This window comes from Homo sapiens, chromosome 17 (genome assembly GCF_000001405.40).
Source record: "Homo sapiens chromosome 17, GRCh38.p14 Primary Assembly".
Lineage (NCBI taxonomy): Eukaryota > Metazoa > Chordata > Mammalia > Primates > Hominidae > Homo > Homo sapiens.
Window position 1 is genome coordinate 2,023,904 of NC_000017.11, and position 27,225 is coordinate 2,051,128.

The following is a 27,225-nucleotide window of genomic DNA, read 5'->3' on the forward strand; positions in this document are numbered from 1 at the left end:
AGCCTCCTGGCCGGGCCAGGCGCGGGGGGGATCCCGGCGGGGCGCCACAGCCTGCTCGGGCCTGGGAGGGGAGAGGCAGACGCAGAGGCTGGAACAGCTGGTGGCGGGGCCCGTGGGCTCCCGGCGTGATCACCTGCCCTCCCAGGGCCCGGGGGACGGCGCCCCGCGTGGCAACCACGTGGGGGCGCGGCGGGACTTCCCCGGTGCCCGCACCAACTTTGCCGCGCTCCGTACCGGGCCGGGCTGCTGGGGCGTCTAGCTACGGTGGTCGCGAAGCCAGCTGTCCTCAAGTTGAGCTGTGCACCGGTCGCGCACACTGGCGGCACGGCTTTCGCGTCCCTCCGCTCCCAGCATAATGAAAGTTTGAGGAACTGGACATCAGGCGCTGGCCGCTCCCCACCCTCAGCCGCTGGGTGCCCAGAGCCCATCCCTAGCGATCAGAGCAGAACTGCAGAGAAGACGTCCGCGTCCGGGCCCCGTCTGGGGAGCTAGGGCGCGCGGGGAGCGCCCGGGCCGCGCGGTCACTGACCGCTGGCTGCACGGGGGCGCCGTGCGGACTCGGCCTCCACAAAGCGGCAGAAGCAAGGGCGTGTGCCCGCGCAGGGAATGGAGGCTGCAAGTGCAAAACTTTATCCCAGCAAAGCAAAGGTCCCAGGAGGCCGGCTCCCCTTCCACCACCGGCCGCTCACTCTGGTCTCCGACTGACCCCTCCGGGCCGGATCTCTAGGCCTGGCCACTCGATCCATGGAGAAAACCCCGTGTCTCACAACTGGCCGCTGACGGGAGCTGAGCCCCAGCAGCAGCCCCTCGGCGGGTGCGCCCGGCAAAACCCACCAGCCCGCCGGGGGCTACTTCCCAGACCGGGAGCCCCGGCGCCGGGCGGCGCCCGGGCTCGCGGCTCTTTCCGGAGCGCATTCAACTTCAACTTGCCCCTGCGGCTCCAACTCACCTTTGCGAAGCATGTTGGCCACGGGGCCGCCGCTCCGAGGTCGGCCTAGGCGCACTCCCTCCCGGGGTCCAGATTCAAATCCCTGGGCGCCAGCTGCAGCTAATCCGAGCGCGTCGAGGCGGGGGCAAGCCGGGGATCCGCTCGTGCCCGGTGGCCCGGCCCCGCAGGGGCATGGTGAGCTCCAGCCCCGCGCCGAGGGCACCGGCGCCCGCAAGCAACCGTGGTGCTGCCCGGCAGCCCCGCGCGCTTGCTCAGCCCCGGGGCGAGCGGCTTGCTCCGCGGAGCCGGCGGCCTGCTTCTGCCACCCGGAGCACTTCGCAGGCGGTTTTGAGGGGGGACGCCGCCCCCTGGCCGGCCGGCCGCAGCCCCCTCCTCTCCGCCCCCTCGGACCACCGCCGCCGCGGCTGCAGCAAAAGGGCGCTCGCACGCACCGCCGAGCTCCGGGGAAAGCGCCCGGCGCGCGTTTGCAGGACCGAGCGATCGGCGGAGCGGGGCGCCTCCCTTCCTCCCCCCGGCTTCCCCCTCCTCTCCTCCTCCCTCCCTCCCTTGCTCTCTAGCTCCCTCCCTCTCGCTCCGCTCCCCGCCCCCGCTCACGGAGCGCCTCCCATACAAAATTTATGAAAGTGCTCTCAGCTCGCAGTGCCGAGCGCCGTCCTATTCCCAAGGCAGCAGCGCTCAGCCGCGCGGCGCCGCCTCCCAAGGTGTTTTCACTGCGCCCGCCCCCGGGGAAGATGCTCGGCCCGCGTCCGTCCAGGCACCTGCCCCCAGTCCCCAAGCCGGTCCTCGGACCACTCCACGCCCCTCCCCGGCCCCGCAGGCCTCCTGGAGCCCGAACCCGCAGCCCAGCCCCCGCCCGCTCGCCCTTCGCGGCTGGAGGTCATCGGGAGACGCGGCTGGGACGCGAGGACCGCCGCCCAGAGTACGGATCGCGAGTCCGCTCCCTGCCCCGTCTCCTCCCTGGCCAGCGCCCCTTCTCCCAGTCTCGACGGCTCTTCCCCGCACTGAACAGCTCCAGCGAACCCGGCTGCCCCGCACCCCGAGTCCCAGGACACTGTTCTTTCGTGGGGAGAGGAGGGGAGCAAGCATTCGGAAAGGGCCAGCTGCAAATTCCAGGGAGAAGGAAGGACCCGTGCGGGTTCGGGTGGGCCGTCTCCGCCTGGGTGGGGTGGCGGCGGGGGGTCTCTGATCTCCCTTGGTCCACACAGACCCCGCCGGGGGGTTCGCGGAAAATGGAGGAGGCGCCGCTTGGAAAGCGGGTCCCGCAGGGGCCTGTTGAGCTGAGGGAAGAGAAGGTTCGGGCCAGGCGAGATCCTGGGTGGAGGCGGCACCCCCTGCTGGCCTGGGATCAGAGGGATTCGGAGAGAAGAAAAAGCGGATGGACCAAGGCTGTCATTCAACACACATTCACCGAAGGCTCAGCATGTGTGGGGCACTACTGTTCCTGAAAATTCAGCAGACGAAAAAGACTTGTCTTTGCCCTGTCCTCAAGGAGTTTCCATTTTAATAGGGGCCAAATGAGGAAAGTCCAGAGAAGATGGGAAGATTGTGCTTCGAAGAAAAACAAGCAGAGTATTGTTCTGGAGCTGACACGGGGGTAGAGGTGGCAGTCAAGGAAAGCTGCTCTGAGCAGGTGACATCCAAGCAGAAATCCAACTGAATCCCTCCTTGTAGGAAAAGGTGACATGATAGGAAGGTCAAAAAGAAGGTCAGGGCCGGGCGCGGTGGCTCACGCCTGTAATCCTAGCACTTTGGGAGGCGGAGGCAGGCAGATCACGAGGTCAGGAGTTCGAGACCACCCTGGCCCGCATGGTGAAACCCGGTCTCTAATAAAAATACAAAAATTAGCCGGGCATGGTGGCAGGCGCCTGTAATCCCAGGTACTCGGGAGGCTGAGGCAGGAGACTCGCTTGAACCCGGGAGGCGGAGGTTGCAGTGAGCCGAGATCGCGCCACTGCACTCCAGCCTGGGTGACAGAGTGAGACTCTGTCTCAAAAAAAAAAAAAAAAAAAGGGCCAGGCTGGGCGCGGTGGCTCACACCTGTAATCCCAGCACTTTGGGAGGCTGAGCAGATCACTTGAGGTCAGGAGTTCGAGACCAGCCTGGCCAAGGTGAAACCCCGTCTCTATTAAAAATACAAAAATTAGCCGAGCGTGGTGGTGTGCGCCTGTAATCCCAGCTACTTGGGAGGCTACGGGAGAATCTCTTGAACACAGGAGATGGAGATTGCAATGAGCCGAGATCACACCACTGCACTCCTGCCTGGGTGACAGAGCGAGACTGTCTCAAAAAAACAAAACAAACAAAAAAAAAGAAGGCCAGTCTGACGTATTCACTCACACCTGCATTTGGTGGCACTGAAGCTTCAGATTTGAGCTAAGGCTCTGGGCTTGGACTTCCAGAAGCTTCAGGTGTCGTGGGAAAAGAAAGACCCGCAAACCATCTTAGAGTGTGACTGACAGAAGTCACAAAGACTGCGAAAGGGCTCTGCTAGCTCTGCCAGGGGCTACCAGATAATCAGGAAACAGTCACAGAAGAGGTGCCCTTGGAGTTAGGTCTTGAAGGCTGAGTTCACCACACTAAGAAGGGGGAAGGGCATTCCACGTAGATGCTTGAAGGTGAGAAGTAACCTTGTTCTGAAGATAGATAAGATTGGTCCTTCCTGAGGACCATGGGCTCACACCTATAATCTCACCACTTTGGAAGGCTGGGGTGGGAGGATTGCTTGAGGCCAGGAGTTTGAGACCAGCCTGGGCAACAGTGTGAGACTCCATCTCTATTTCAAAAAAATGTTTAAAGATAAAAAAAGATGGATGGCTGCTACTCTGGGCACACTGCCCATGGCCACAGGAGCAGTTAAACACGAACAAAAAAAGATTGGTCCCTCTTGGCGTAGAACAGAAGGTGAGGTATTCCTTCTCTTAGCCACCAGCTACAAGGCAGTGCTCACCCCACTGCCTGCCTTAGCCCTGACACTGGGAGCCTGAGAGGTCCTCTGTAAGTACACCGAGGCCCAGAGAGGATGAACAACTTGCTCAACGTCACATCACAGATCAGCGATAAAGTGTGGGCCTGACTCAGGGCCTGAATGTGGGATAATCCTCCTTCCACCTCTCCAAGCCGCCTCCCCATGACCCCCTAGCCCACAAACTCTAGCGTCTTAGGAAAAGTTGGCTGGGGCTGGGCGTGAGTGTGAGAAGCAGAGTTATTTCAGGCCTCAGGAGGGTTGGGTGCTGCCTTGGAGTCCAGCCAGGGAGTGGGGGCGAGTGAAGGCGGGTGTTGTGGTGTACTGTGGGGGTGCACTGTGCCCGCCTTCTTGTCAGGCAGTAATTACTCAGACTGCTGAGTAACTCAGGCAGGGAGACCCCCACAGACAGATGGAGGTGCCCTCAGCCCAAGCTGAATGGCAGCCCCCAATGTCCTGCACCACGGAGTCTTGGGGAAGCATTCTCACATCTGTTCTTCATGTCCAGTTCTCCTAGGCATCATCCGGCTTCCTAATGGGGGCCAGAGCAGCTCATTAGGCACAGCGGGTGCGGGGCAATGTTACTAGAGGGATGGGACTTTTGCCATCAAACAGGCCCCACCTCTGATGAGGGAAAGGTCCCAAGGGATATGGCGCCTGCTAGGGAGAAGCCATTGCTCAGTTGGAGCCAGTCCTTTCCCCTTGAAACTCCATGCTGCAGTCACAGCTAAGGCTGTCCACAGGCTGGGCAGCAGTGTCCTGAGAGAGGAGGGGCTGAGCTCCCAGAATTCAGATCTTGCACCCTGGGGATCCAGAGAAGCTGGGGGGAGATGGGAAGGTCTAGTCCGGACGCTTATCGAGTTGAGGGGAGTGTTCCTGGGACCCACATTGGTCACTTTTCTGTCTAGAGCTACCTGTCCTAAGAGTGCCGGTGGCCTGGGGGGCACAGCACTGACCCTTGGTGATGGTCCCTCAGCTGCTCACTCCCTGCCTGTCCAGCCATTCCTCCTCTCTGGGCAGCCTCCCAGGCAGGGCCTGTCTCTGGCTGCTTGTTTTTACTTCTCCCTGCACCTTAATTAGGGGTTTCCAAGCAGGGAGGGCCTCTGGGGGAGCCCGAGGACACAGAGCTGACTTAAAGGGCCAGCTGTGATCACAGCACCACCGCAGAGAGAGGAGGAGGATGCCAGGGGGCTGGGTAGACCGTCAGACCTGGAAGACCATTGTTCCACGGGACAGACTGCTGAGGGCCAGTCCTGCAGGTACTTTGCTCTTCCACAGGTCAAAGCCGTCTCACTGGCTGTCTTCTCTTTGGGGTCTCTGGGGCTCTGGCCAGTGATCAGGAGAAAGACCAGCCCTGAGGGGCAGGGCAAAGGTTGGCCAGGGTCCAGAAGGGTTAGACATCACAGTCCTCCACTGCCCACCTTCCCAGGAAAGCACCCTCAGGCTGTGGGCCTTCCCCAGAGGGGCAGTTTCTACAGGGTCTACGCAGTGGATTCTAAAGGTGATAAAGGCTGGGTGCAGTGGCTCGCGCCTGTAATCCCAGCACTTTGGGAGGCCAAAGTGGGAGGATTGCTTGAGTCCAGAGGTTCAAGACCAGCCTGAGCAAAATAGTGAAACCTTATCTCTACTAAAAAAAAAAAAAAAAAAAAAAAAAAAAATTAGCTGAACGTACGCCTGTGGTCCCGGGTACTCAGGGGGCTGAGGCAGGAAGATGAATTGAGCCCAGAAGGTTGAGACTGCTGTGAACCATGATCGCACCACTGCACTCCAGCCTGGGCGACAGACCAAGACCCTGTCTCAAAAAAAATAATTTAAAAAGCTGATAAGGGCGATCCACAAACCTGCACCAAGACTCTCAACTTGGAGCTGGGCTGGTGGTCCCTGAGTTCTGTCCTGCCGGACAGTAGAGTCCCCCTAGGTAGGGAACGTGGCCCCACACGGCGGCCGGGTGACCGACCACTGCTTACCAGGAGGGGAGACTGGCAGGGGGGGCTCAAGGAACATCTGGTGGGTGTCCCCTTCACAAGACTCGGCCTGCAGAGTTCGTGCAGGGAGTTCGCACATAGGAGAGCACCGGTCCGGGAGTGCCAGGCTCGTGCCCGGCCGGGGAGAGGAGTGGGAGACTAAGTCGCAGGGCAAGGGCAACTGCATAGTCGGGGACCTCTAGGGAATCCTGAGTCCCGGCATTCTGGGCTGGGGTGGAGCCCACTACAGCCCCGCCCCTATCTCCTCCTTTATGGCCCCGCCCAGCGGGTATCCCCCGCCCCCGCTGGCCGATCGGCGATCGATCGCAATGTCTGCGCTCTCCGCGTTCTTCCAGCGCTGTCTTTTTAGTACCACATGCGCAGGCAGGTGATGGCGGCGCTGGTCGTATCCGGGGCAGCGGAGCAGGGCGGCCGAGACGGCCCTGGCAGAGGTGGGTGCTGGAACGCTGCGCCCTCCAGACCTCGCATCTCGGGGCGGGGCCCCCAAGTTAGGGACAGGACCAACCCCCTTTAACGGCGGCGGCGCCTTTCTCCGCTAGATCCCGCTGTTAGTCGCCTTGGGCCGCTGTCACCAGCTCGGGGTCGCTGTCAGCCGGAGCCCAGGGGTACCAGTCTTTTGCAGCTTTAGGGCACGACCGAGAGCAGCCCTTAATCCTCCAATCGGAAACTACAGCCTTGTCTTGGCGGGTAGACGGATAAAATGGACTCGACGGGGAGGGAAAGGGCCAGGCCAGATGCAGCGGGCATTTTACGAGTGCGCCCTCAGGGAATGCTTTCAGGGAAGAGGCAAAAGGTTTCATTCGCCAGGCATTAACTGAGCGCCCACCGAATGCCAGGCCTGCGCTGGGTGCAGGTACTAGAATCAGAGATCTCAGTCTACTGGGGGAATGTTAATGTAAACATATCATAGCCACGTGATAAAGGAGGAGGTGCCTACTGGTCCCTGGGACACATTGAAGGGCTAATGTTAGCAGTTCCTTACACGCCAGCGACCACTAGGGACCTGTCAGAGGAGGATCTGTAATGGGCCTAGGAAGCCTAGGCTGATTGTCCAAGGCTTTTGAAACAACTGGCCAAAAACCATAGCAGTGGTAACGTTCAAATCTGATCTCAGGGCCCCAGCCTCCGCTGGACCATCCCCACCGCCGCCCACACAGTGGGTGAAGCCTCATGTCTGGGCGGGTCCCTCCTATCATAGTGTGGGGCCCTAGCAGAAGTTGTGGCACATAGCACAGTCTCAATACATATTCGTTGAATAAGTTAATTTCTTGCCTTTTCATATCCTCAGACTCTGTGGCTCCTGAAGAGATAACGGGGTTGAACTAAGCTTAATTGTCGGGGCAGGGCATAGTGGCTTACACCTTTAGTCTGAGCACTTTGGGAGGCTAAGGAGGATTGTGTGAGCCCAGGAATTCCACACCAGTCTGGGAAACATAGGGGGACCCTGTATGCACAAAAAAATAAAAAATAGCCGTGCGTGGCCGGGCACGGTGGCTTACACCTGTAATCCCAGCACTCTGGGAGGCTGAGGCGGGCGGATTACCTGAGGTCAGGAGTTTGAGACCAGCCTGGCCAACATGGTGGAAACCCTGTCTCTACTAAAAATACAAAAATTAGCCGCGTGTGGTAGCACACGCCTGTAATCCCAGCTACTCGGGAGGCTGAGGCAGGAGAATTGCTTGAGTCCGAGAGGCTGAGGTTGCAGTGAGCCGAGATTGCACCACTGCACTCCAGCCTGGCCAACAGACAGAGTGAGACTCTGTCTCAAAAAAAAAAAAAAAAAAAAAAATTAGCCCTGCGTCTTGGCACATGCCTGTGGTCCTAGCTACTGGGGAGGCTGAGGTGGGAGGATTATCGTTTGAGCCCAGGACGTCGAGGCCGCAGTGGACCATGATTGCACCCCTGCACTCCAGCCTGGGTGATGGAGTGAGACCCTGCCTTAAAAAATAATAAGATGAATTGTTTATTCAGCTTATTATTTTTTATCCTACTTAGGAGTAGGATGAGACCAGAGTAAGAGTTGCAGTTTGCTAAGGGCTACGGTTTCCCCTTTACTCCAGGAGTTGTAATTATGTGTATACCTGTCTTTTCCCCCACTAGACTGCTGGTCTCTAAGGGACAAGGTCACTTTTCTGTCCTTACTGGTACGTCCACCACCCTGACTCAAGTGTTCTTTCCATCCTTCCTGGTTTAAGAGTAAGGAGGAGCAATGGGACAGCTAAGTCAGTTAAATGTATGATGTTTATTTCCCTTTTAAATGAGGAGAGGTAAGCGTGAAAGAACGAACAGTGTGGCCACAGTCAGTGGGGTTCTGAGTCAGGAGGGCAGTCTTTTAAGTTAGTATTCATGTTTAACGGTTTGCTTATAGACCTCATATCTAGAAGCTCAAAACTTCAAGGTGTCCTCAGGAGGTGGGAGAGGGGGGACATTCTCCCAGGCTGGCTGGGCTGGCTAGACTGACTCTTAGGTTTTCCGCAGGGCTGTTCTCTATCAGGGAGCAGTATATGGACTCAGACTCATTCTTTGCCCCTTAGCCCCTGGTGTCACCTCTGTTCTCCTGAGGAAGAAGGTGAGCCATATTCTATTCATGGGCTCAAGTCTTCGATTCCCAGTGATTTCACAACATGGAAATTATACCGGTTACCTTCTGGCTTAATGAATTGTCTCTACCTTCAGGATGAATTCAGTGAGAACGAAAGCTGGGCCAACCCCCTTGGTGTCTGGATCTGGCCCTTAAACTTGGTGGAGTTAACAGCTTAGCTGGGTCTTGTTACCAAACTCAACTTGGGTCTTCCCATCCACACAAAGCAAAAGCCAAACACTGACATGGAGATTTGCAGGGAGAGAACAAGCATTTATTGTAAGGCACCAAGCAGGGAGACTGGGCAGCTAAAGCTTAAGACCTAAACTTCCTGATGGCTTACAAGCAAAGGGTTTTTATTTTATTTATTTATTTATTTTTGAGATGGTGTCTCGCTCTGTTGCCCAGGCTGGAGTGCAGCGGCGTGATCTCGGCTCACTGCAAGCTCCGCCTCCCGGGTTCACCCCATTCTCCTGCCTTAGCTGGGACTACAGGTGCCTGCCACCAGGCCCGGCTAATTTTTTGTATTTTTAGTAGAGAGTAGTATTTCCCCGTGTTAGCCAGGATGGTCTCGATCTCCTGATCTCGTGATCCGCCCGCCTCAGCCTCCCAAAGTGCTGGGATTACAGGCGTGAGCCACTGCGCCCGGCTGCAGAGGGTTTTTAAAGGCTGGGCTTCTGGGGATCTTTAAAGTGAATTAAGGGCTGGGGAATTTCTGGAACTTTCTTACCTATTTTCTGGCTTCAGTCTGTCTGAGGTCTTACATGACAGCAATTAGTTGGCATTTTTCACCTGGTGGGGGGGTGGGTGTCCTGGTTTCTGAAAAACAACTTAGGGATATATGTCAAGGTGTTATGTGTAGTTTCTATAGGGAACCAGGCATCTCGTGACTCTGACTTGGGTGACTGTTGTTTATTATCTTCTTGTTTAGCAAGTTATTTAATTCCCTAATTGCTGGTTGTAGGGCTAGCTAAGATGCCTGGGATTTTTCTTGAGATGACTCAAAATTTTTATTTCTATGCTTGAGCGGGGGCACCGGCAGGCCCTGAAAAGGGATCCCTATTCCATCTCAATCTGGCTTCAGCCAAAGACAGACACCAACTCAGGCCTTATATCCATTCTAGGTCGGGCCCCTCGGGGCCGCGTGGCCAATCAGATCCCCCCTGAGATCCTGAAGAACCCTCAGCTGCAGGCAGCAATCCGGGTCCTGCCTTCCAACTACAACTTTGAGATCCCCAAGACCATCTGGAGGATCCAACAAGCCCAGGCCAAGAAGGGTGAGCCTGTGATCATTGAGCTGGGGTTGGGGTGGAGAGGTTGCCTGGCCCAGATGGGACAGTGTCCCCCTTGCAGCCCCTTCCTAGCCCTCCACCTCTCATGTCTCTGCTCGTCTTGCAGTGGCCTTGCAAATGCCGGAAGGCCTCCTCCTCTTTGCCTGTACCATTGTGGATATCTTGGAAAGGTGAGGCTTGGGGCACTGGAGAGGAGGGTGAGCCAGGCTTCCCCCACCCCCTATGCTCATTACCCGGGTGGGTAAAGCCCTGGTGGCGGGCATTTTTTCCTTCTGAACCTCCACCTTCCCCCTTTCCCTCCCACAACCATACACACACTCAGGGAAAACCCAAAACAAATCTCCCAGCTTGCTGAGAGCCCTGCTTGTCCCTGCAAATCCCCCCTCCCCTAAACATTTGGGACAGAGAAAGAAATCAATCCCAGTGTCTTCAAAGCTAGACCCAGAGCAGGTGGTAGGACCTGGGGAGGACCCTAAGAATTCTCCAAGCTGCCCCTGAAATGCGCTGAGTGATCAGTGGGAGGTCTGCCGGTCGGGGGCGGTGGGGGGCACCTGTTCCTCGGGCACATTTGGGGAAGTAGGGCAAGGATGGGTTTGGAGTGGGAGGTGCCTGGGAGAAGGTATTCAGTTCCTCTACATCCTACCCCTGTCACTCTAAGTTTCTGCAATACAATGAGCCATCCTTGGTGGGGAGGGTGAGAGCTCAGCCATCTGGAACCAGCACAGGAACAGGGGAGGGGAACGAAGAAAGGGGAGGTCATCTCATGCTGGGAACCTCCCACTCCCCTGCTGCCCCATCGCCCTCCCCTGCTCCTCCCTCCCCCTCCCCTTCTCCCCCATCCCCCTCCCCTGCTCCCCCATCCCCTGCTGCCCCATCCCCCTCCCCTGCTGCCACCCTCCCTCCCCTGCTCCCCCAAACCTCTCTTCTCCCCCCTTCCCCTCCCCTGCTCCCCCTCTCTCCCCTCCCCTTCCCCCTCCCCTGCTCCCCCTCCCCTCCCCTGCTCCCCATCCCCCTCCCCAGTTTCCCCATCCCCTCCCCTGCTGCCCCATTCCCCTCCCCTACTCCCCCTTCCCCCTCCCCTGCTCCCCCCTCCCCTGCTGCCCCCTCCCCTCCTCCCCCACTCCCCTGCTGCCCCATCCCCCTCCCCTGCTGCTGCCCCATCCCCCTCCCCTGCTGCTGCCCTCCCTCCCCTGCTGCCCCATCTTGTTGCCACAGACTCACTTCCCTGCTCCCACCGTCTTGCCCCTTGGGGATGCTCTCTGGGGCTCAGGCCAATTTGCATACATTTTAATCTATAAAAAATTAAGTGCTGTGGCTGACTTAGACGCCTGGGCTGCATTCTAAGGAGGTGAATAATCTGCTTCTGGGCACAGCCTGATTTGGGGAAGGGGGTGGAGGAGGGGGTGACTAGCAGGAGCTCAACTCTTCCACTGCCACACCCCCAGGGGAAGGATGGGGGGACCCCAGTCACTGAGCCAGGCTCCACGCCCCAAGTGTGAGTCTCTTTCAAGGAAGAGGGGGTTCTCCTCCATTCCTAGGGTGAGTTCAGGGGTACAAGGTCTTCCCCACCCACCCCCTCCCCCAGTGATTCAGGCCTGGCAGCAGTTCCCACGGCAGTGTTCTGGCCAGAGCCTCCTCTTCCTGATGCAGGAGGCGTGTAGGTGGTGCCATGTGCTATGGGGGAGCTGTGCCTGGGTCCCCCCATCCTGGGCACCAAGGGCCCTGCCTGCGGTGGGGAGGTAGTGGGGGTCCGGACGAGAGGGCCCTGCCTGTGGTGGGGAGGTAGTGGGGGTCCGGGTGAGGGGGCCCTGCCTGTGGTGGGGAGGGGGTGGGGGCCCTGCCTGTGGTGGGGAGGGAGTGGGGGTCCCGGCAAGAGGGAGGCTGTGTGTATTCATACAGCCACGCCCATGCCCACCACAGCACTCAGCGCGGGAGTGAGGACCTTTGGGTGTGTGTGCGTGCTCACGGCTCTGGGTGGGTGAGTCAGGGCATGGGGCGTCTGTGTTTTGACCCCACGTGTGCCGGAGTGAGGGTTGGGGTCCCTCCTGCAGCCTGAGCCTGGGTAGAGGAATGAGGGTCCTCACGCAGCAACAGTTCCAGGAGCGGCTGCCAGGCTGGGGCAGGCGGCAGCTGTGCCCCTCCTAATCTTTGTTGGCAGAAGTGGCAGCTGCCATCCCGAGGAACTGGGAGAGGTAGGGAGAGAGGAGCTGGGCCCTGAGACACCCTCCCAGGGTTGGGTCTCTCCTACCTCAGTCCCTGTGTCCCTGTCCCACCGTTCCCCGCCCCTGTGCCCGCAGGTTCACGGAGGCCGAAGTGATGGTGATGGGTGACGTGACCTACGGGGCTTGCTGTGTGGATGACTTCACAGCGAGGGCCCTGGGAGCTGACTTCTTGGTGCACTACGGCCACAGTTGCCTGAGTATGGTGGGGCCAGGACACCTGGACGGTGGCGGGGCTGGCAGGGAGGCAGGCTGCACATTCATCTTCCCCATGGCAGTGCCTTCTTGTCCTGCTTGGAGACACAAGGTCCCTCCTGGTTTCTGGGGTGGCCTCTGCCTTCCCGCTCTGCAGGTAGATCTTTCCTTTGGATTTGGTTGCCTTGGCAACGGTGCTCTGTCCCAGATGCAGGTGTTTGAAAGGCTGTTGGTTGTAGAGCAGGCTGGGCCCCGGCCGGGTGACAGAGAAGTCTGATTGAGAAGGAGCTTCTAGGGGATCTGTGACCCCCCTCTTCTCCTACCCTGTCCTTTTACCCCCAGGCTGAAGCCACTGCGCCTGGCTGCTCAGAGACCTGAGCCTGGCCGGGCCCTCTGCTGCTCCTGCCTTCCCAAACAGCCCCTGAACTCCTCCCTCCCACAGTTCCCATGGACACCTCGGCCCAAGACTTCCGGGTGCTGTACGTCTTTGTGGACATCCGGATAGACACTACACACCTCCTGGACTCTCTCCGCCTCACCTTTCCCCCAGCCACTGCCCTTGCCCTGGTCAGCACCATTCAGTTTGTGTCGACCTTGCAGGTGGGTGGAACGAGGATCCTCGGCCTCCTGCAGGGTGGACAGCGGCCACTCTCCAGCTGTTGCGGGATCCCCAGGTGCTCCAGGCTGTTTCTCAGCCCTGGCTCTCCTGCCCCAGCCGCTGGCTTCACTTCCCTCGTCATTCCTACAGGCAGCCGCCCAGGAGCTGAAAGCCGAGTATCGTGTGAGTGTCCCACAGTGCAAGCCCCTGTCCCCTGGAGAGATCCTGGGCTGCACATCCCCCCGACTGTCCAAAGAGGTGGAGGCCGTTGTGTAAGTTAAAAATGGGGGCCAAGTAAGTCCTAGAGACATGCGTGTACCCTGGGAGGGAGCCTGAGGTTCATCATCCAGGAAAGAAACCAAATCTAATGCTCCTTACCTGTGAGCCCGAGGTCACACTGCAAGGTAGGGACCAAACAGGGAGCAGACCTCAGGTTTACTGTCGCTTTCTCCACTGCCCAGTCCATCATCCAGAAGGCTGTGCAGGGTGGGGGCAGGAATCAGAGGGCCTGATGGGGGTTGAGGGTGGGCTGGAAATGGTGGGAATATAATTGGAGAAGATGGATGGGCACGCCCAGGCTGCAGCCCCATTAATTTACCATCCGGACAGCTAACAAGCAGAAGCAGCGTGTCTCCTGCCGCCTAATTATTTTAGGTAATGGAAATGCTTAATGTTGTGTGAATGCAGCCAGCCTGAGAGCCGACGGCTCCCCCGACTGGGACTAGGGAAGGGAGTCCCGTTCCGTACTAATGGCAGGGAGGGAGGGTCGCTCCCTGACTCAGTCCCACCTCTGGGGCTTTGGAGGCTGTTTCCACAGGCCTGACACCCCTGTCCCTAGACAGGCCCACATCAGGGCCTTCCCCAGCCCAGATCTGGCAGCCCTGCTCCCCGAGCAGCACTGAGTGGCATTCCCCCTGTGCCCACGTCACTCAGTCTCTACCCTTGGGGTCTTCAAAGTGTATGTTGGAGGGAGGGACACCCTGAGTGTTAGCCATTCATCAGAATGAAGTGTGGTCTCCAAGAGGGAGAGAAGGAGCTGCCACAGGCAGGTTATCTTCCACGCTCTGTAATCTTCATGGGCTGGGAAGCTACTGTCAGGGACAGCATGTCTGGGGGCACACTTGGTACAGCCTGGGTTGAGCCTCAGACACACTGCTTCCTAGCTGTTTAATACTAGGCGAGTTTCTTAACATCCCTGAGCCTCAGTTGTTACCTTCTGTAAAACAGGTATACTATACGTATCTGGGAGGATTAGGAGATAGGACTGCGTGAACTAATTCACAGCAGGTACTTAGTCTATGCCTGGTACACAGAAGGCACAAGTCCAATAAACAGTAGCTGTTGGCCGGGCACAGTGGCTCACGCCTGTAATCTCAACACTTTGGGAGGCCAAGGCAGGAGAATTGCATATGTCCAGGAGTTTGAGACCAGCTTGGGGAATATAATGAAACCCTGTTCTCTCCAAAAAAAAAAAAAAAAAAAAAAAAAAGAATTAGCTGGGTACAGTGTCCATGCCTGTAGTCCCAGCTCCTCAGGAGGCTTAGGTGAGAGGATCGCTTGAGCCTGGGAGGTTGAGGCTGCAGCGAGCCATGACCGAGTCACTCAACCTGGGTGACAGAGTAAGACCCTGCCTCAAAAAAACAAAATGAAAATCCGGTAGCTTTTGTTATAACTCAGTAACTGGCCCCAAGAGCTAGTTTGGGCAGAAAGTAGCCATTGTATGCCCTGCAACCTCATGTACAGCATAGATCAGAGGTCCCCAACCCCTGGTCCCATGTCCTGTTAGGAAACCTGCCGCACAGTAGAAGGTGAGGGGTGGGCCAGCCAGCGTGACCACCTGAGCTCCGCCTCCTGTCAGATCCGCCGCGGCATTAGATTCTTGTAGGAGCTCAAACCCTATCGTGACCTGTACATGCGAGGGATCTAGGTTGCATGATCTTTATGAGATCCTAATGCCTGATGATCTGAGGTGAGACAGTTTCATCCTGAAACCATCCCCCAATCCCACCCGTGTCTTCCACAAAACCTGTTCCCAGTGCCAAAAATATTGGTTACTGCTGGCGTAGATGACTCCTTGAACACTACTGTCCACATCTGTATTGAGCTTGTGAAGGAGAATCTGTTCCCCAACTTCCAAATGAGGATCTCTAGAACCCCAGGTGGCCTCACCACGGCCGGCTGCTCCTTCACTCTTCCTCAGAAGCTTGGGGTGGGACGGTTCTTAGATTCTGCATTATGTAAATAGAGGGACCGTAGAGTCATCCAATTCAAACTCCTTATTTCACACGTGAGAAAACCAAGGCTCCAAGAGGTGAAGTGAAGGCTTGTCCCAGTTTACACAGAGGCACAGCACAGCCAGCTGTGAACTCAGTCCTCTGGACTTTTTTTTTTTTTTGAGACAGAGTCTTGTTCTGTCGCCCAGGCTGGAGTGCAGAGGTGCGATCTCGGCTCACTGCAGCCTCTGCCTCCCGGGTTCAAGTGATTATCCTGCTTCAGCCTCCCCAGTAGCTGGGACTACAGGTGCCCGCCACCACGCCCAGCTAAGTTTTTGTATTTTTAGTAGAGACAGGGTTTCACCGTGTTAGCCAGGATGGTCTTGATCTCCTGACCTCGTGATCCACCCGCCTCGGCCTCCCAAAGTGTTGGGATTACAGGCATGAGCCACTGCACCTGGCAGCCCTGTGGACTTCTTTTTTTTTTTTTTTCTTTTTGAGACGGAGTCTCACTCTGTCACCCAGGCTGGAGTGCAGTGGCGCGATCTCAGCTCACTGCAAGCTACGCCTCCCGGGTTCACGCCATTCTCCTGCCTCAGCCTCCCGAGTAGCTGGGACTACAGGCGCCCGTCACCACACCCAGCTAAGTTTTTGTATTTTTAGTAGAGACGGGGTTTCACTGTGTTAGCCAGGATGGTCTCGATCTCCTGACCTCATGATCCGCCCGCCTCGGTCTCCCAAAGTGCTGGGATTACAGGCGTGAGCCACCGCGCCCGGCCAGCCCTGTGGACTTCTAAGCCAGCGAGTGCCTCTTCTGCTGCCCTAAACCACACTTAGCCTCCTTTCCACCCCTGCAGGTATCTTGGAGATGGCCGCTTCCATCTGGAGTCTGTCATGATTGCCAACCCCAATGTCCCCGCTTACCGGTATGGGCTGGGCCGGGCTGGGCTGACCAGCTGGTGAGGGGTGAGATTCCCTGCCACTGAGGTCCTCAATTGGTTGCATCCCCATTTCCTGGCCACTAAGCCACCAGCCCTAAGGGTCTGAGGCACTTGGGCCCTGGATCTGGGCATTAGCCCCAGGGCTGCTGTTGCCTACCCGTCTCCTGGGGTTTACACGGAGATCTTAAAGCCGCCCACTCTTGTCTGCTCCAGCTGTGGGACAGGTCTTCCTAATGACAGTCCCCGCTCTTGCCTCTGTTCTTAATTACCTGCGTGGGGCCTAAAGGTTCAGGAGCCCACGGGGCTGAGTCAGGAGCTGTGTGCATAATACTGGTCCTGACAGTGGCTGCCACAGTGACCCTGACTGCTTCTTTTCCAGGTATGACCCATATAGCAAAGTCCTATCCAGAGAACACTATGACCACCAGCGCATGCAGGCTGCTCGCCAAGAAGCCATAGCCACTGCCCGCTCAGCTAAGTCCTGGGGCCTTATTCTGGGCACTTTGGGCCGCCAGGGCAGTCCTAAGATCCTGGAGGTCAGTGGGCTCAGGACAGCCTCTGGAGGAGGGAAGTGACTGGGAACACAGCTGGGAAAACCAGTAGGCCACAGGTTCAGCTTTGGCTGCTTGACCAGGTGACCCCCACCCTGCCTCCCTCTCCCAACAGCACCTGGAATCTCGACTCCGAGCCTTGGGCCTTTCCTTTGTGAGGCTGCTGCTCTCTGAGATCTTCCCCAGCAAGCTTAGCCTACTTCCTGAGGTGGATGTGTGAGTATCTGCCTGGCTATGACTGGCTAAAGAAGCTTAGAAGCTGGGTCTTGCCCAGCTCGTCTTGAAGGCTGGAGCCAACAGGAATTGCTTCCATGGTCATGGAATTTTACTGTTTACAGAGACCTCCCTGGGAGGGCTAACTGGGTCATACCTGCTTTGGGACTTTGGGGCTCAGAGGCAATGGCAACATCACATTTGTCCTTGTGAGATGAGTTTGAGCGGTGGCTGACACCTGCCCTGTACCAGGTACTAAATGTGGTTCTGGGGATACTATCACCAGTGAGCTGCCCTGGAAAGCTCATTGTCGGCAGAGGAAACAGGAGAAAACACGCAACAATACAGTATTCCAAACAGCAGTGGGTCACTGTCTTTACTTTAGGATTCATAAAGCCTGTTAATGAATGGGTGTGCTGGGGGCACTGTCATGTTCTTCAGCATGCTGCCTGGGCGACGAGGAGGCCCTTCCTAGGGTCTGACCTGGCTTCCCTTCCCAGGTGGGTGCAGGTGGCATGTCCACGTCTCTCCATTGACTGGGGCACAGCCTTCCCCAAGCCGCTGCTGACACCCTATGAGGTAACACCAAGCTCTGGGAGAGAGTGGGCTTTGGACGTGGTTCTCAAAGGTGAGGTCTGGAGTGGAGTGGGGTGGGTGGGCAGCACTTCGTTATGTTCGTAGATTCCGGAGTCTGTCTCGATTTCTCCAGCGGAGTCACTTCCTAGCTGTGTAGCCTTAGGCAAGGCCCTGAACCACACAGTTCCCTTCTGTGGCAGGGGACAGTGTGCCCTTCACAGGCCGTCGTGAGGACTGAATTCAGTAATCCAGGGGCAGAAAAACACTGGCAGATGTTATTGTCCCTCCCTCCCCTCCCCTAGGCGGCCGTGGCTCTGAGGGACATTTCCTGGCAGCAGCCCTACCCGATGGACTTCTACGCTGGCAGCTCCTTGGGGCCCTGGACGGTGAACCACGGCCAGGACCGCCGTCCCCACGCCCCGGGCCGGCCCGCGCGGGGGAAGGTAGGCGGGGGCTTCCAGGAGGGAGGAGAGACCGCGCCTGGGCACTGGCCGCCGCCCTGCGACCGCGACGGGAAACGCACAGGAGCGGAGCGGAGGGAAACGCAGGGTCGCAGGAGCGAGACCCTAACCAAAGTCTGCGACCTCAGGTGCAGGAGGGGTCCGCGCGTCCCCCTTCGGCCGTGGCTTGCGAGGACTGCAGCTGCAGGGACGAGAAGGTGGCGCCGCTGGCTCCTTGACGCGCTCCCGGGCCTCAGGTATCAGCCCCCGCTCTGGGTGCGCCCCGCCTTTTGCCGTTGTCATGGGAACGCCTTGGCGCTCCGAGGCCCGCCCTCGGGGCGGTGCTGACGTTCGGTTCCGCCCCGTGCATTGTGCTTCCGCTCGGGGAAAGACCGCTTCCGGTGCTTCCGTCGCTCCTTGCCGGGCATAATGGCCGCGCAGCGACCCCTGCGGGTCCTGTGCCTGGCGGGCTTCCGGCAGAGCGAGCGGGGCTTCCGTGAGAAGACCGGGGCGCTGAGGAAGGCGCTGCGGGGTCGCGCCGAGCTCGTGTGCCTCAGCGGCCCGCACCCGGTCCCCGACCCCCCGGGCCCCGAGGGCGCCAGATCAGACTTCGGTGAGACAAGCCCCGCTCCGGAAACGCACTCAGTTTCCTCCATCTTGTTTCGTCCCCCTCGACACCCTTCAGCATCCCCCACCCTGCGTCCACCCGCATTCCTCCCACCCAGTCCACACCCTTCATTTCTCGCGACCCATACCCTCTTTGCTCAAACTGCAGCCTGTCCTCCCAGGCTTCCGCCTTCACCGTCTTCCTCCGCTGTCTCCTGTTCAGGCCAATCCACTCATTTCCCCCCTCTCATTTCCCCCAGACTTTTGCCTCGATTCCCTTTTTCTCTCTGTCATCTCGAACCCTCCTGCCCTTTCTCATTTCTTTCCTTCCTGGAGCCTCCCATGCCCTAATCCCATCCTTTTTCCTCATATCGCTGTAGGGTCCTGCCCTCCGGAGGAGCAGCCTCGAGGCTGGTGGTTTTCAGAGCAGGAGGCCGACGTTTTCTCCGCATTGGAAGAGCCCGCCGTCTGCAGGGGCCTGGAGGAATCACTGGGGATGGTGGCACAGGCACTGAACAGGCTGGGGCCTTTTGACGGCCTTCTTGGTTTCAGCCAAGGGGCTGCGCTAGCAGCCCTTGTGTGTGCCCTGGGCCAGGCAGGCGATCCCCGCTTCCCCTTGCCACGGTTTATCCTCTTGGTGTCTGGTTTCTGTCCCCGGGGCATTGGGTTCAAGGAATCCATCCTGCAAAGGCCCTTGTCATTGCCTTCGCTCCATGTTTTTGGGGACACTGACAAAGTCATCCCCTCTCAGGAGAGTGTGCAACTGGCCAGCCAATTTCCCGGAGCCATCACCCTCACCCACTCTGGTGGCCACTTCATTCCAGCAGCTGCACCCCAGCGTCAGGCCTACCTCAAGTTCTTGGACCAGTTTGCAGAGTGAAAGATCAAGAAATGTCTCTGCTCCTACATCCAGCTCCTCTAGGGGCAGCCTCCGTCATCCATGCCCTCCCAGGACCCTCCACTCACTGCTGTGAGTGCGCCTCACCAGAACCAGTTAAGAGACAACTATCAATTCTTGAGACCCAAATTATAAGGGCCCTGCCCTGTACTGAAGAAAAGGGGAGCACAAGGCCTTAATGGACATTGACTTGTGAAAACGCAAACATGAATATGGTTGGAGAGCCCTGGATTAGGAGGGTGACATGGGGAAGGCAGAGGCTGGCACCATGGTGACTGCCACATAATAAAGTGGTGATTTGGATTTTGAGCATCTTTTTCCTGGTACACACAGAAAAACATTTTATAATGGAAGTCGGTTTCTTGGCCATCTACATAGTTTTCTGGGCAGCGCCAAGCAGGGAGGTGTCTCCAGTTGTGAGTCCTCGGACAGGCTGCTGCATGGGTGCACATACTCACGTTATTGGTGGAAGTTTTAAGTCCCAAACTGAAGGGAAGGAGGCCTAGGTGGCACAATCAGGGAGGAATATACATCTGAGAAGTTTTGGGAAGACATCACCTGGCAAGGCTGCCTGAACCACAGTAATTTAGTCTTCCTCTATCCAGATCACTGAGAGTTGTGTGCTGGTCTTCTCTCAAACCCTGGATGTGTTACCTGCTTCTCCCTAAGTGCTCTAACCTCGCTGAACTATGAGCCTGAAGGGTGGGTCGATGCCAGACCTTAGGTGGAGGCCAAAGACAGTACAGAATAAACAGCTTCTTCCTAAATTGACCCCATCTTGAGGGTTTCTGAGATTGATGCCATTCTTTAGTGACTACAGCCAAGGCCTAAGCAATCCAGCTGGTTTTCCCCTTGGGGCGTGTAGTTGTTCTTGGATACTTTGAGGATTGCTCACTCTTTTTTTTTTTTTTTTTGAGACAGGCTCACTCTGTCACCCAGGCTGGAGAGCAGTGGCCAAGATCCTGGCTCACTGCAACCTCAGCCTCCTGGGTTCAAGCAGTTCTGTCTCAGCCTCCTGAGTAGGTGGCGTTACAGGCATGCGCCACCACGCCTGGCTAATTTCTATATTTTTTTGTAGAGATAGGGTTTTGCCACGTTGCCCAGGCTGGTCTCAAAACTCTTTAGCTCAAACAATCCACCTGCCTCAGCCTCCCAAAGTGCTAGGATTATAGGCCTGAGCCACTGCACCTACCTAGGATTGCCCACTCTTTTTTTGTTTTCTTTACTTTTAAAGACAAGGTCTGACTCTATCACCCAGGCTGGAGTGCAGTGGCACAATCTTGACAGCCTCCACCTCCCGGGCTCAAGCCATCCATCCTCCCACCTCAGCCTCCCAAGCAGCTGGGGCTGCAGGCGCAAATCACCATGCCTGGCTAATTTTTGTATTTGTTGTAGAGAAGGGGTCTCACCATGTTGTGCGGATGGTCTCCAACTTGCGAGCTCAAGCAATCCACCTGTCCTGGCCTCCCAAAGTGCTGGAATTAACAGGCGTGAGCCACCTCACCTGGCCAATTGCCCACTCTTAATGAGTTCCCTCCCATTTCCAGTGCCACCTGACACCCCCCACCCCCTGACACACACACACACACTCTTGTTTTCTGACTTCCTGCCTCTGCAAGACAAGAAGCCTGTTCTTTTTCTGGAAGATCACACCAACTCCTGTTTAGCCCTCAGACATAGTTGCCAGGGAGCTAAGCAACTGAGCAGGAATTATGGTCAGGGACACAGCACAAATACTCCAGCCCATTTTTCTGACAACCAGACTAATATCCCTTACATTACCGAAAGTTCTGGGTTCCTCACTACAGAGATTAGCTGTCCAAAATTAAAAAAAACAAAACAAAACAGAATTATCCGCCCAGAGACCTAGTTACTGGGTGTGGAAAGTGTGTGTGGGGAGGGGTGGGAGGTGGTTCTCCCTTGCTTCAGTTGGCTTCTGCCTTGTTTTAAGGAATCTTCTCCTTTAGCAAAAGGAGGAGACTTTGGAATGGATTGATTACACAGACTGTGGTATCTGACCCATTGAATTTTAGAAAAAATTCTGATTTAAAGTTTCAGAAATTGCACAGAAAATTTCAGATTTCTGGCTTCTCTGGAAATGATAGATTTGCAGTTCAGGGCTCCCATACCCTCATGGTAATCATAGGCTGCCCCCTTTAGCACGGTCCCAAGAGGTGAAAACGACTTGTACACCCCAGCTGCTTGGGATTATTGAGGACGAAAGTAGAGAGAAGGGGAGAAATATTGGGGAGTGAATTTTGAGCCAAGGCTTAAAATTAAAAGTGGGGGAGGTAGAGCCCAGCAGTAGTAGGTGGAGGAGAAGGGCTCCTGGCCGGGGGTGAGGATTCCTCCTGAGAACCATAGTGTCCAAGCTAGAGGGAAACATGGGGTCCACTAGTTCTCGACAAGTGGAACAGGTCACTTCCCATCATGCCGTCCAGGAGCAAGAGAGACTCTTAGGGGGTTGTGCCCCTCCCCACCCCCAATACGCAGATTCTGTGTACCATTTACATCCAGAACATTGGTTAAAACCTGAATTCTGGCCCTGCGTGGTGGCTCATGCCTGTAATCCCAGCACTTTGGGAGGCGGAGGCGGGCAGATCACCTGAGGTTGGGAATTTGAGGCCAGCCAGACCAACAGAGAGAAACTCTGTCTCTACTAAAAATACAAAATTAGCCAACCATGGTGGCGCATGCCTGTAATCCCAGCTACTTGGAAGGCTGAAGCAGGAGAATTGCTTGAACCTGGGAGGCAAAGGTTGCGGTAAGCCGAGATCACGCTATTGCACTCCAACCTGGGCAACGAGAGCGAAACTGTCTCAAAAAAAAAAAAAAAAAAAAGTAGCTGGGCGTGGTGGCATGCACCTGTAATCCTAGCTACTTGGTAGGCTGAGGCAGGAGAATTGCTTGAACCCAGGAGGCGGAGGTTGCAGTGAGCCGAAATTGTGCCACTGCACTCCAGCCTGGGTGACAGAGTGAGACTCCATCTCAAAAAACCAACTTGAATTCTGGGGCCAACTCCAGATGTACTGAGTCAGAATCACTGGGACCCAGGAATCTGCATTTTGGCAAATTGCCCCCATCATTCCCAAGCAGGGATTTGAAAAGCCACTGCCTTAGGGGTTGAATGAAAGCCTCGGGTGAGGGTGTGTTATCTGAAAAACCCCTAGTGTGACTCTCTTGCAACCCACCAGGGAGGGGAGCAAGCTCCCCAGAACAATCACTGCTTAAACATTTTCAATTTATAGCAAAGGAAAATTAGGTCTGAAGGATAGAAATAGGAATAGCATTTATTTATTTACTTACTTATTTGAGACGGAGTCTCGCTCTGTCACCCAGGCTGGAGTGCAGTGGTACAGTCTCCGCTCTCTGCGACCTCCGCCTCCTGAGTTCGAGCGATCCGCCTGCCTCAGCCTCCAGAGTAGCTGGGATTACAGGTGTGCATCACCACTCCCAGCTAATTTTTGCATTTTCAGTAGAGACAGGGTTTCGCCATGTTGGCCAGGCTGGTCTTGAACTCCTGATCTCAAGTGATTCGCCCACCTCAGCCTCCCAAAGTGTTGGGATTACAGGTGTGAGCCACTGCACCCGGCCAGAAGAGCATTTATTGAGTAATAACTGTATACCAGACATTGTAATAAGCAAGAGCTTTAATGCGGCCTAATTTAGGGCCAGGTGCGATTGCTCATGCCTATAATCCCAGCACTTTGGGAGGCTAAGGCATGAGGATCAATTGAGCCCAGGAGTTCAGAACCAGCCTGGGAAACATAGTGAGACCCCCTCTCTACAAATAATTTAAAAGTTAGCTGGGTGTGGTGGCATGCACCTGTGGTCCCAGCTACTCGGGAGGCTCAGGTGGGAGGATCACTTGAGCCCAGGAGTTTTGAGGCTGCAGTAAGCTGTGATTGTGCCACTGTATTCCAGCCTGGGAGACAGAGCTAGACCCTGTCTCCAAAAAAAAAGAAAAAAAAACAAACTACAAAAATTGGCTGGGGGTGGTGGCACACACCTGTAGTCCTAACTACTCAGGAGGCTGAGACAGGAGAATTGCTTGAACCTGGGAGGCGGACGTTGCAGTGAGCCGAGATCATGCTACTGCACTTCAGCCTGGGCAACAGAGCAAGACTCCATCTCAGAAGAAAAAAACAAATAAAATTATATATATATAACACATATATATTTTATATATATTAGGCAATAAATATATATAGCTTAAACCTTACAACTTCATGTTTAATCTCACAACTTCATGAGGTAGGTACCATTATTATTATTATTATTTGAGACGGAGTGTCACTCAGCCACCCAGGCTGGAGTTCAGTGGCACGATCACGGCTCACTGCACCTCCGTCTCCTGGGTTCAAGTGATTCTAGTGCCTCAGCCTCCCAAGCAGCTGGAATTACTGGCAAGCACCACCATGGCTGGCTAATTTTTTGTGTTATTAGTAGAGACGGAGTCTGACCATATTGGCCAGGCTGGATTATTATTAAGACAGGGTCTACCTCTGTCACCAGGTGCAGGATCATGGCTCACTGCAGCCTCGACCTCTTCGGCTCAAGTGACCCTCCCGCTTCAGCCTCCTGAGTAGCTTAGCTGAGACTACAGGTGCCACCTATCACACTGGCTTTTTTTTTTTTAAGACATGGGGTCTCACTATGTTGCCCAGGCTGGTCTCGAATTTCTGGGCTCAAGCAGTCCTCCAGCCTCTGCCCCGCCCCGCAAAATGGTGTGATTACAGGCATGAGCCATGTCTCCCAGCCCTAAATAATGATTTTTTTTTTTTGAGACAGGGTCTCACTCTGTCATCCAGGCTGGAGTACAGTGGTGCAATCACAGCTCACTGCAGCCTCAACCTCCCAGCCTCAAGCAATCCTCCCACCTCAACTTCCCAAGTAGCTGGGACTACAGGTGTGCACAACTAATTTTCTTTCTTTTCTTTCCTTTCTTCTTTCCTTTCTTTCTTTTTTGTAGAGATGGGAGTCGCATTGTATTGCCCAGGCTGGTCTCGAACTCCTGGGCTCAAGAGATCCTCCCACCTATGCCTCCCAAAGTGCTGGGATTACAGGCGTGAGCCACTGTGCCCTGCCCTAAATGATTTCTAAGATGCTAAACAACCCTGACGTACGGTCAATCCTCTGGTTCTTTCCCCTCTGACCACATTCTGACCTCTTCTCAGAATATCCCAACCATTTCTGTTTTCCACCTCTGATTCCACCTTGGATTCCTAGAGCTCTTAGGAGAGAGAACCCCCTTAGCAAGGAACCTCTCAACAGCCCCAGGCCCAGAGTGAACCCGGGAGGCGGAGGTTGCAGTGAGCCGAGATAGTGCCACTGCACTCCAGCCTGGGCGACAGAGCGAGACTGTCTCAGAAGAAAAAAAATAAAAGTATATGTATGTATAACATATATATAATATAGATTATATATATATTAGACAATAAATATATATAGCCTAAAGCTCAAGGTGTACCCCCCACATCCCGTTCATTCTGCCTAAGTGCACAGAGCTGGGGTCCCCTCCCAACACCACCCCTTCACAAACATGTAGTAGCCTAACAGAATACTTAAGATCAAAATAACATTCTGCTGTTTTTGGATTTTTACTTACATGATCCTATTTAATCCTCACAGTGCACCTGCCGAGGAGAAGAGATTATTATCCCGTTTTACAGAAAGCTCAGAAACAGAATATGGCCCCTTAACCACCAGTTGCTGATAATGCCAGGTTGGACCTCTGGCTTCCCAGAGCACTACACCCAGCAGTCCACTGCAGTCCACCCACTGACATCCCCTGGAACCCAGAAGCAAGTGCGTTTTAATCTGCAAGACCTCGGGGCCCTGGGGAGGTGGGATGGCTAGCATGTGGGTGTTGATTAACTGGGAAACCGGCACGAGTGTCTTAGAAGTACTTCACAAAGGAGCCGGGTGGGGAGTGAAGGAGGGGGTGGGGCGTGAGACGTTAAGAAAAATTGGATTAACGTGTCGTGGGCTGGGTTGCATTAACCATTCCCAACACTATCTCTGGGGAAGTCTCACACCTGATATTCAATAGACATCCCCTGTAGTGGGTGATGTTGGCAGAGGCAGGCGACATATACAATAATATTTTTAGAGATCCTTGTTCACACTTCATCCGCACCAGAGGACTTCAGCCCCTGTGGTATTCACTCCTCTTTAGGGCTAATTTGAGAAACTGTCTCAGATTGGAATCCAGCACCTAGAGATAGGCTGAGGTGAGCAGGCTGATCTGTTCAGACGCTTCGCGGACCAGGTTAACTTTACAAGCTCATTGGCTTCCAGAGGGTTGGGGACCCTTCTTATCCTCCTAGCTCAGAGGGAAAGATTCAAGAGTTTACTCTTCGCCCAATGCCCACTTCAGCTAGGGGTTCCTGGAAGAACGGGGCTGTGGAGTATCTCAGAAAACTTTCCTCCCTCTACTGTCTTCAGGCCCCAGGAGACAAACCTCCTTCCAAGCCTCCTGGTCCCAGTGGCTTCCCTCTCACCGAAATCGAAAGAACCCGAGTCCCAGCCCGACCCCTTCTCTCGCCGAGCCCTGGCTGGGATACCTTGGCCGGGAGGACAGGACGGCCTCAGGCTGGCCGCCAGACGCACTCCGCAGGACGCGCGCGCTCGAGCCTCGGTGGACTCAGCCGCCGGCCCCGGGAGGCCGCCTCCCTGCGCAGCACCTCCTGCCACCCGCGCGGGCACGTGGGATCTTGACTCGCCGCCCCCGCCTCCTTCTGCTCCGCGTCCCCAGCCCGCGGCTCGGGGCGCGGCGTGGCGCGGCGCGTGGGCGTGCTGCGGGGCGACCATGGCTGTAGACTGTTACCTCCAGTTCCCACAGTAACAATCGAAAGCCACGGTTGCCCTGGAGACGCGGGGGCGGGGCGCGCGGACGGCGCCGGCGCGGGGCGGGCTGACGTCAGGGCCGCGGGGGGGCGGGCGGGGCGGCGGGGGCTGAGGAGCGCGCGTGGGCCACCGCCCCTCGCAGCCCCTAGGGACCCGGACGGGGCGGCCCGATGGCGGCGCCTGCGTTGATCAGCACCGCGGACAGCGGCGGCGCAGGCAGCGGGCCGGGGGCGGGGCCCTGAGGGACGGGGACTGGGGGTCCCCGGGCGCGGCGGCGGCGGCCGGGGCCGCGGTCCTGGGGCGGGGCCAGGCGTCGGTGGCCGTGACTGGAGACTGTTACTGAGGGCGGCCCGGGCAGTAAGCAGTCTAGAGCCAAGGTGCCGGCGCGCTGTCCGGGCGGGGTGCCCCGGTCGCCCCGGCTGCCCCGGCTGGGGGCTCTGCTGCTCCGCCTCCCCTGCGTCTCCCGCCCTGCCCCGCCCGGCGCTCGCGACCAGGCACGCGGCCCCTGACGTCAGAGGGCCGTGACGTCAAAGATGTCCCAGAGGGGGCACTTCCGGCGGGGGCGTGGGGGCGGGGCGGGACCTGGGAGGCCCCGCCCCCCCGGTCCTGAGAGGACAGCTCCGCTCGCAGAGGCGGGAAGCCGTGGGCGCCGCGGGACCCGCTGGACGGGACCTGCCGGGAAGGGGCGCCCGACGCCATGCGGGGCGGGGGTCCCAGGAGGGCCGGGGAAGCGGGGGTGGGCGTCCGTCTCTCGCCTGCACCCCCGCTCAGCCGGCCCGGGCAGCGAGGCTGAGTCACCGCGCCGCAGGGAGGGAGAGGAGGGGGCGCGTCTCCTGGGGCGCCAGCACCTTCGCCTCACTTTCCTGGGAGAATGGCGCAGGAGCCCCAAGAAAGCCGGGGGGGGGTCTCCGAGGTCGGTCCTCCACTCGATGCTCCTCCGAAGTAGCTGCGTGTCCATCGGGCGCCGGCAGGTGCTGCGCGGGCTCGTGTCGTCTCTGGCCCCGGCTCCGCAGCCGCGAGGGGACCCCGGTGCCCCCCGTCCGCCCCCATCCCCACCCCGGAGGGGCCGCCCCACCCGCCGCCTGCCCGTCCCCTCCTCGTCCTCCCGTCCGTGTCCGCACATCTGTCCCTCCGCGGCTGGTCCGTCCCGCTTACCT

General features: G+C 56.9%; 3 protein-coding genes, 1 long non-coding RNA gene and 2 other non-coding genes across 12 annotated transcripts in view, besides 10 other annotated features; 2 read left to right on the forward strand and 4 right to left on the reverse strand.

Annotated features, from left to right (window-relative positions):
- Positions 1-1,431, reverse strand: part of RTN4RL1 (reticulon 4 receptor like 1) — a 90,658-nt gene extending 89,227 nt beyond the window's left edge. Inside the window, exon 1 of the mRNA NM_178568.4 lies at positions 950-1,431. Within this exon, the coding sequence (NP_848663.1) occupies positions 950-962 (13 nt within the window). The 5' untranslated portion in view covers positions 963-1,431. The remainder of the gene's footprint in view (positions 1-949) is intronic.
- Positions 278-823: an enhancer, noted in NCBI's record as "H3K27ac-H3K4me1 hESC enhancer chr17:1927475-1928020 (GRCh37/hg19 assembly coordinates)". NCBI's record gives its function as "activates a minimal SCP1, AML or CMV promoter by ChIP-STARR-seq in primed H9 embryonic stem cells {active_cell/tissue: H9 hESC(primed)}" and the evidence as "EXISTENCE:reporter gene assay evidence [ECO:0000049][PMID:30033119]".
- Positions 1,992-2,492: an enhancer, noted in NCBI's record as "H3K4me1 hESC enhancer chr17:1929189-1929689 (GRCh37/hg19 assembly coordinates)". NCBI's record gives its function as "activates a minimal SCP1, AML or CMV promoter by ChIP-STARR-seq in naive H9 embryonic stem cells {active_cell/tissue: H9 hESC(naive)}" and the evidence as "EXISTENCE:reporter gene assay evidence [ECO:0000049][PMID:30033119]".
- Positions 5,998-6,589: an enhancer, noted in NCBI's record as "H3K27ac-H3K4me1 hESC enhancer chr17:1933195-1933786 (GRCh37/hg19 assembly coordinates)". NCBI's record gives its function as "activates a minimal SCP1, AML or CMV promoter by ChIP-STARR-seq in naive and primed H9 embryonic stem cells {active_cell/tissue: H9 hESC(naive and primed)}" and the evidence as "EXISTENCE:reporter gene assay evidence [ECO:0000049][PMID:30033119]".
- On the forward strand, positions 6,209-19,995 carry DPH1 (diphthamide biosynthesis 1). Of its 7 annotated transcripts, none has more exons than NM_001346574.1 (13): positions 6,209-6,327; positions 9,602-9,754; positions 9,876-9,939; positions 12,067-12,188; positions 12,626-12,783; positions 12,932-13,053; positions 15,852-15,920; positions 16,315-16,408; positions 16,602-16,702; positions 17,200-17,278; positions 17,578-17,718; positions 17,865-17,972; positions 18,702-19,528. In NM_001346574.1, exons 1-12 carry the CDS (start codon positions 6,252-6,254, stop codon positions 17,952-17,954), a joined length of 1,269 nt encoding a protein of 422 aa, NP_001333503.1. In that variant the 5' UTR covers positions 6,209-6,251; the 3' UTR covers positions 17,955-17,972; positions 18,702-19,528. The 7 variants fall into 7 exon arrangements, 4 of the variants coding, with proteins under 4 accessions (NP_001333503.1, NP_001333504.1, NP_001374.4 ...); NM_001346575.1 differs by having other exon boundaries at positions 12,626-12,750; NR_144476.2 differs by having other exon boundaries at positions 6,250-6,327; positions 12,932-13,435; positions 16,315-16,471; positions 18,702-19,995.
- Positions 6,590-7,181: an enhancer, noted in NCBI's record as "H3K27ac-H3K4me1 hESC enhancer chr17:1933787-1934378 (GRCh37/hg19 assembly coordinates)". NCBI's record gives its function as "activates a minimal SCP1, AML or CMV promoter by ChIP-STARR-seq in primed H9 embryonic stem cells {active_cell/tissue: H9 hESC(primed)}" and the evidence as "EXISTENCE:reporter gene assay evidence [ECO:0000049][PMID:30033119]".
- Positions 10,390-10,569: an enhancer, noted in NCBI's record as "active region_11462". NCBI's record gives its function as "activates an Ori minimal core promoter by ATAC-STARR-seq in GM12878 lymphoblastoid cells {active_cell/tissue: GM12878}" and the evidence as "EXISTENCE:reporter gene assay evidence [ECO:0000049][PMID:35858748]".
- Positions 17,622-17,711: a silencer, noted in NCBI's record as "silent region_7967". NCBI's record gives its function as "represses an Ori minimal core promoter by ATAC-STARR-seq in GM12878 lymphoblastoid cells {active_cell/tissue: GM12878}" and the evidence as "EXISTENCE:reporter gene assay evidence [ECO:0000049][PMID:35858748]".
- Positions 17,972-18,031: an enhancer, noted in NCBI's record as "active region_11463". NCBI's record gives its function as "activates an Ori minimal core promoter by ATAC-STARR-seq in GM12878 lymphoblastoid cells {active_cell/tissue: GM12878}" and the evidence as "EXISTENCE:reporter gene assay evidence [ECO:0000049][PMID:35858748]".
- On the forward strand, positions 18,119-19,522 carry OVCA2 (OVCA2 serine hydrolase domain containing). The gene is made up of 2 exons (NM_080822.3): positions 18,119-18,328; positions 18,702-19,522. Exons 1-2 carry the CDS (start codon positions 18,145-18,147, stop codon positions 19,199-19,201), a joined length of 684 nt encoding a protein of 227 aa, NP_543012.1. The 5' UTR covers positions 18,119-18,144; the 3' UTR covers positions 19,202-19,522.
- Positions 18,222-18,421: a silencer, noted in NCBI's record as "silent region_7968". NCBI's record gives its function as "represses an Ori minimal core promoter by ATAC-STARR-seq in GM12878 lymphoblastoid cells {active_cell/tissue: GM12878}" and the evidence as "EXISTENCE:reporter gene assay evidence [ECO:0000049][PMID:35858748]".
- Positions 24,804-26,046, reverse strand: LOC124903896 (uncharacterized). The gene is made up of 2 exons (XR_007065576.1): positions 25,258-26,046; positions 24,804-24,855 (listed from the first exon to the last, which is right to left on the reverse strand). It is a non-coding gene; the product is annotated as an uncharacterized LOC124903896 (long non-coding RNA).
- Positions 25,801-26,600: a silencer, noted in NCBI's record as "silent region_7969". NCBI's record gives its function as "represses an Ori minimal core promoter by ATAC-STARR-seq in GM12878 lymphoblastoid cells {active_cell/tissue: GM12878}" and the evidence as "EXISTENCE:reporter gene assay evidence [ECO:0000049][PMID:35858748]".
- MIR132 (microRNA 132) lies at positions 26,005-26,105 on the reverse strand. The gene has a single exon (NR_029674.1). It is a non-coding gene; the product is annotated as a microRNA 132 (primary transcript).
- On the reverse strand, positions 26,368-26,477 carry MIR212 (microRNA 212). The gene has a single exon (NR_029625.1). It is a non-coding gene; the product is annotated as a microRNA 212 (primary transcript).
- Positions 26,611-26,760: a silencer, noted in NCBI's record as "silent region_7970". NCBI's record gives its function as "represses an Ori minimal core promoter by ATAC-STARR-seq in GM12878 lymphoblastoid cells {active_cell/tissue: GM12878}" and the evidence as "EXISTENCE:reporter gene assay evidence [ECO:0000049][PMID:35858748]".

Excerpts from the sequence above, each read along its gene's own strand:
- DPH1 (NM_001383.6), top strand. The coding sequence starts at position 6,267 with ATGGCGGCGCTGGTCGTATCCGGGGCAGCGGAGCAGGGCGGCCGAGAC. Across the intron at positions 6,328-9,601 it reads CCGAGACGGCCCTGGCAGAG|GTCGGGCCCCTCGGGGCCGC; the intron begins GTGGGTGCTGGA and ends TATCCATTCTAG. Across the intron at positions 17,719-17,864 it reads GCCGGCCCGCGCGGGGGAAG|GTGCAGGAGGGGTCCGCGCG; the intron begins GTAGGCGGGGGC and ends CTGCGACCTCAG.
- OVCA2 (NM_080822.3), top strand. The coding sequence starts at position 18,145 with ATGGCCGCGCAGCGACCCCTGCGGGTCCTGTGCCTGGCGGGCTTCCGG. Across the intron at positions 18,329-18,701 it reads GGGCGCCAGATCAGACTTCG|GGTCCTGCCCTCCGGAGGAG; the intron begins GTGAGACAAGCC and ends ATATCGCTGTAG.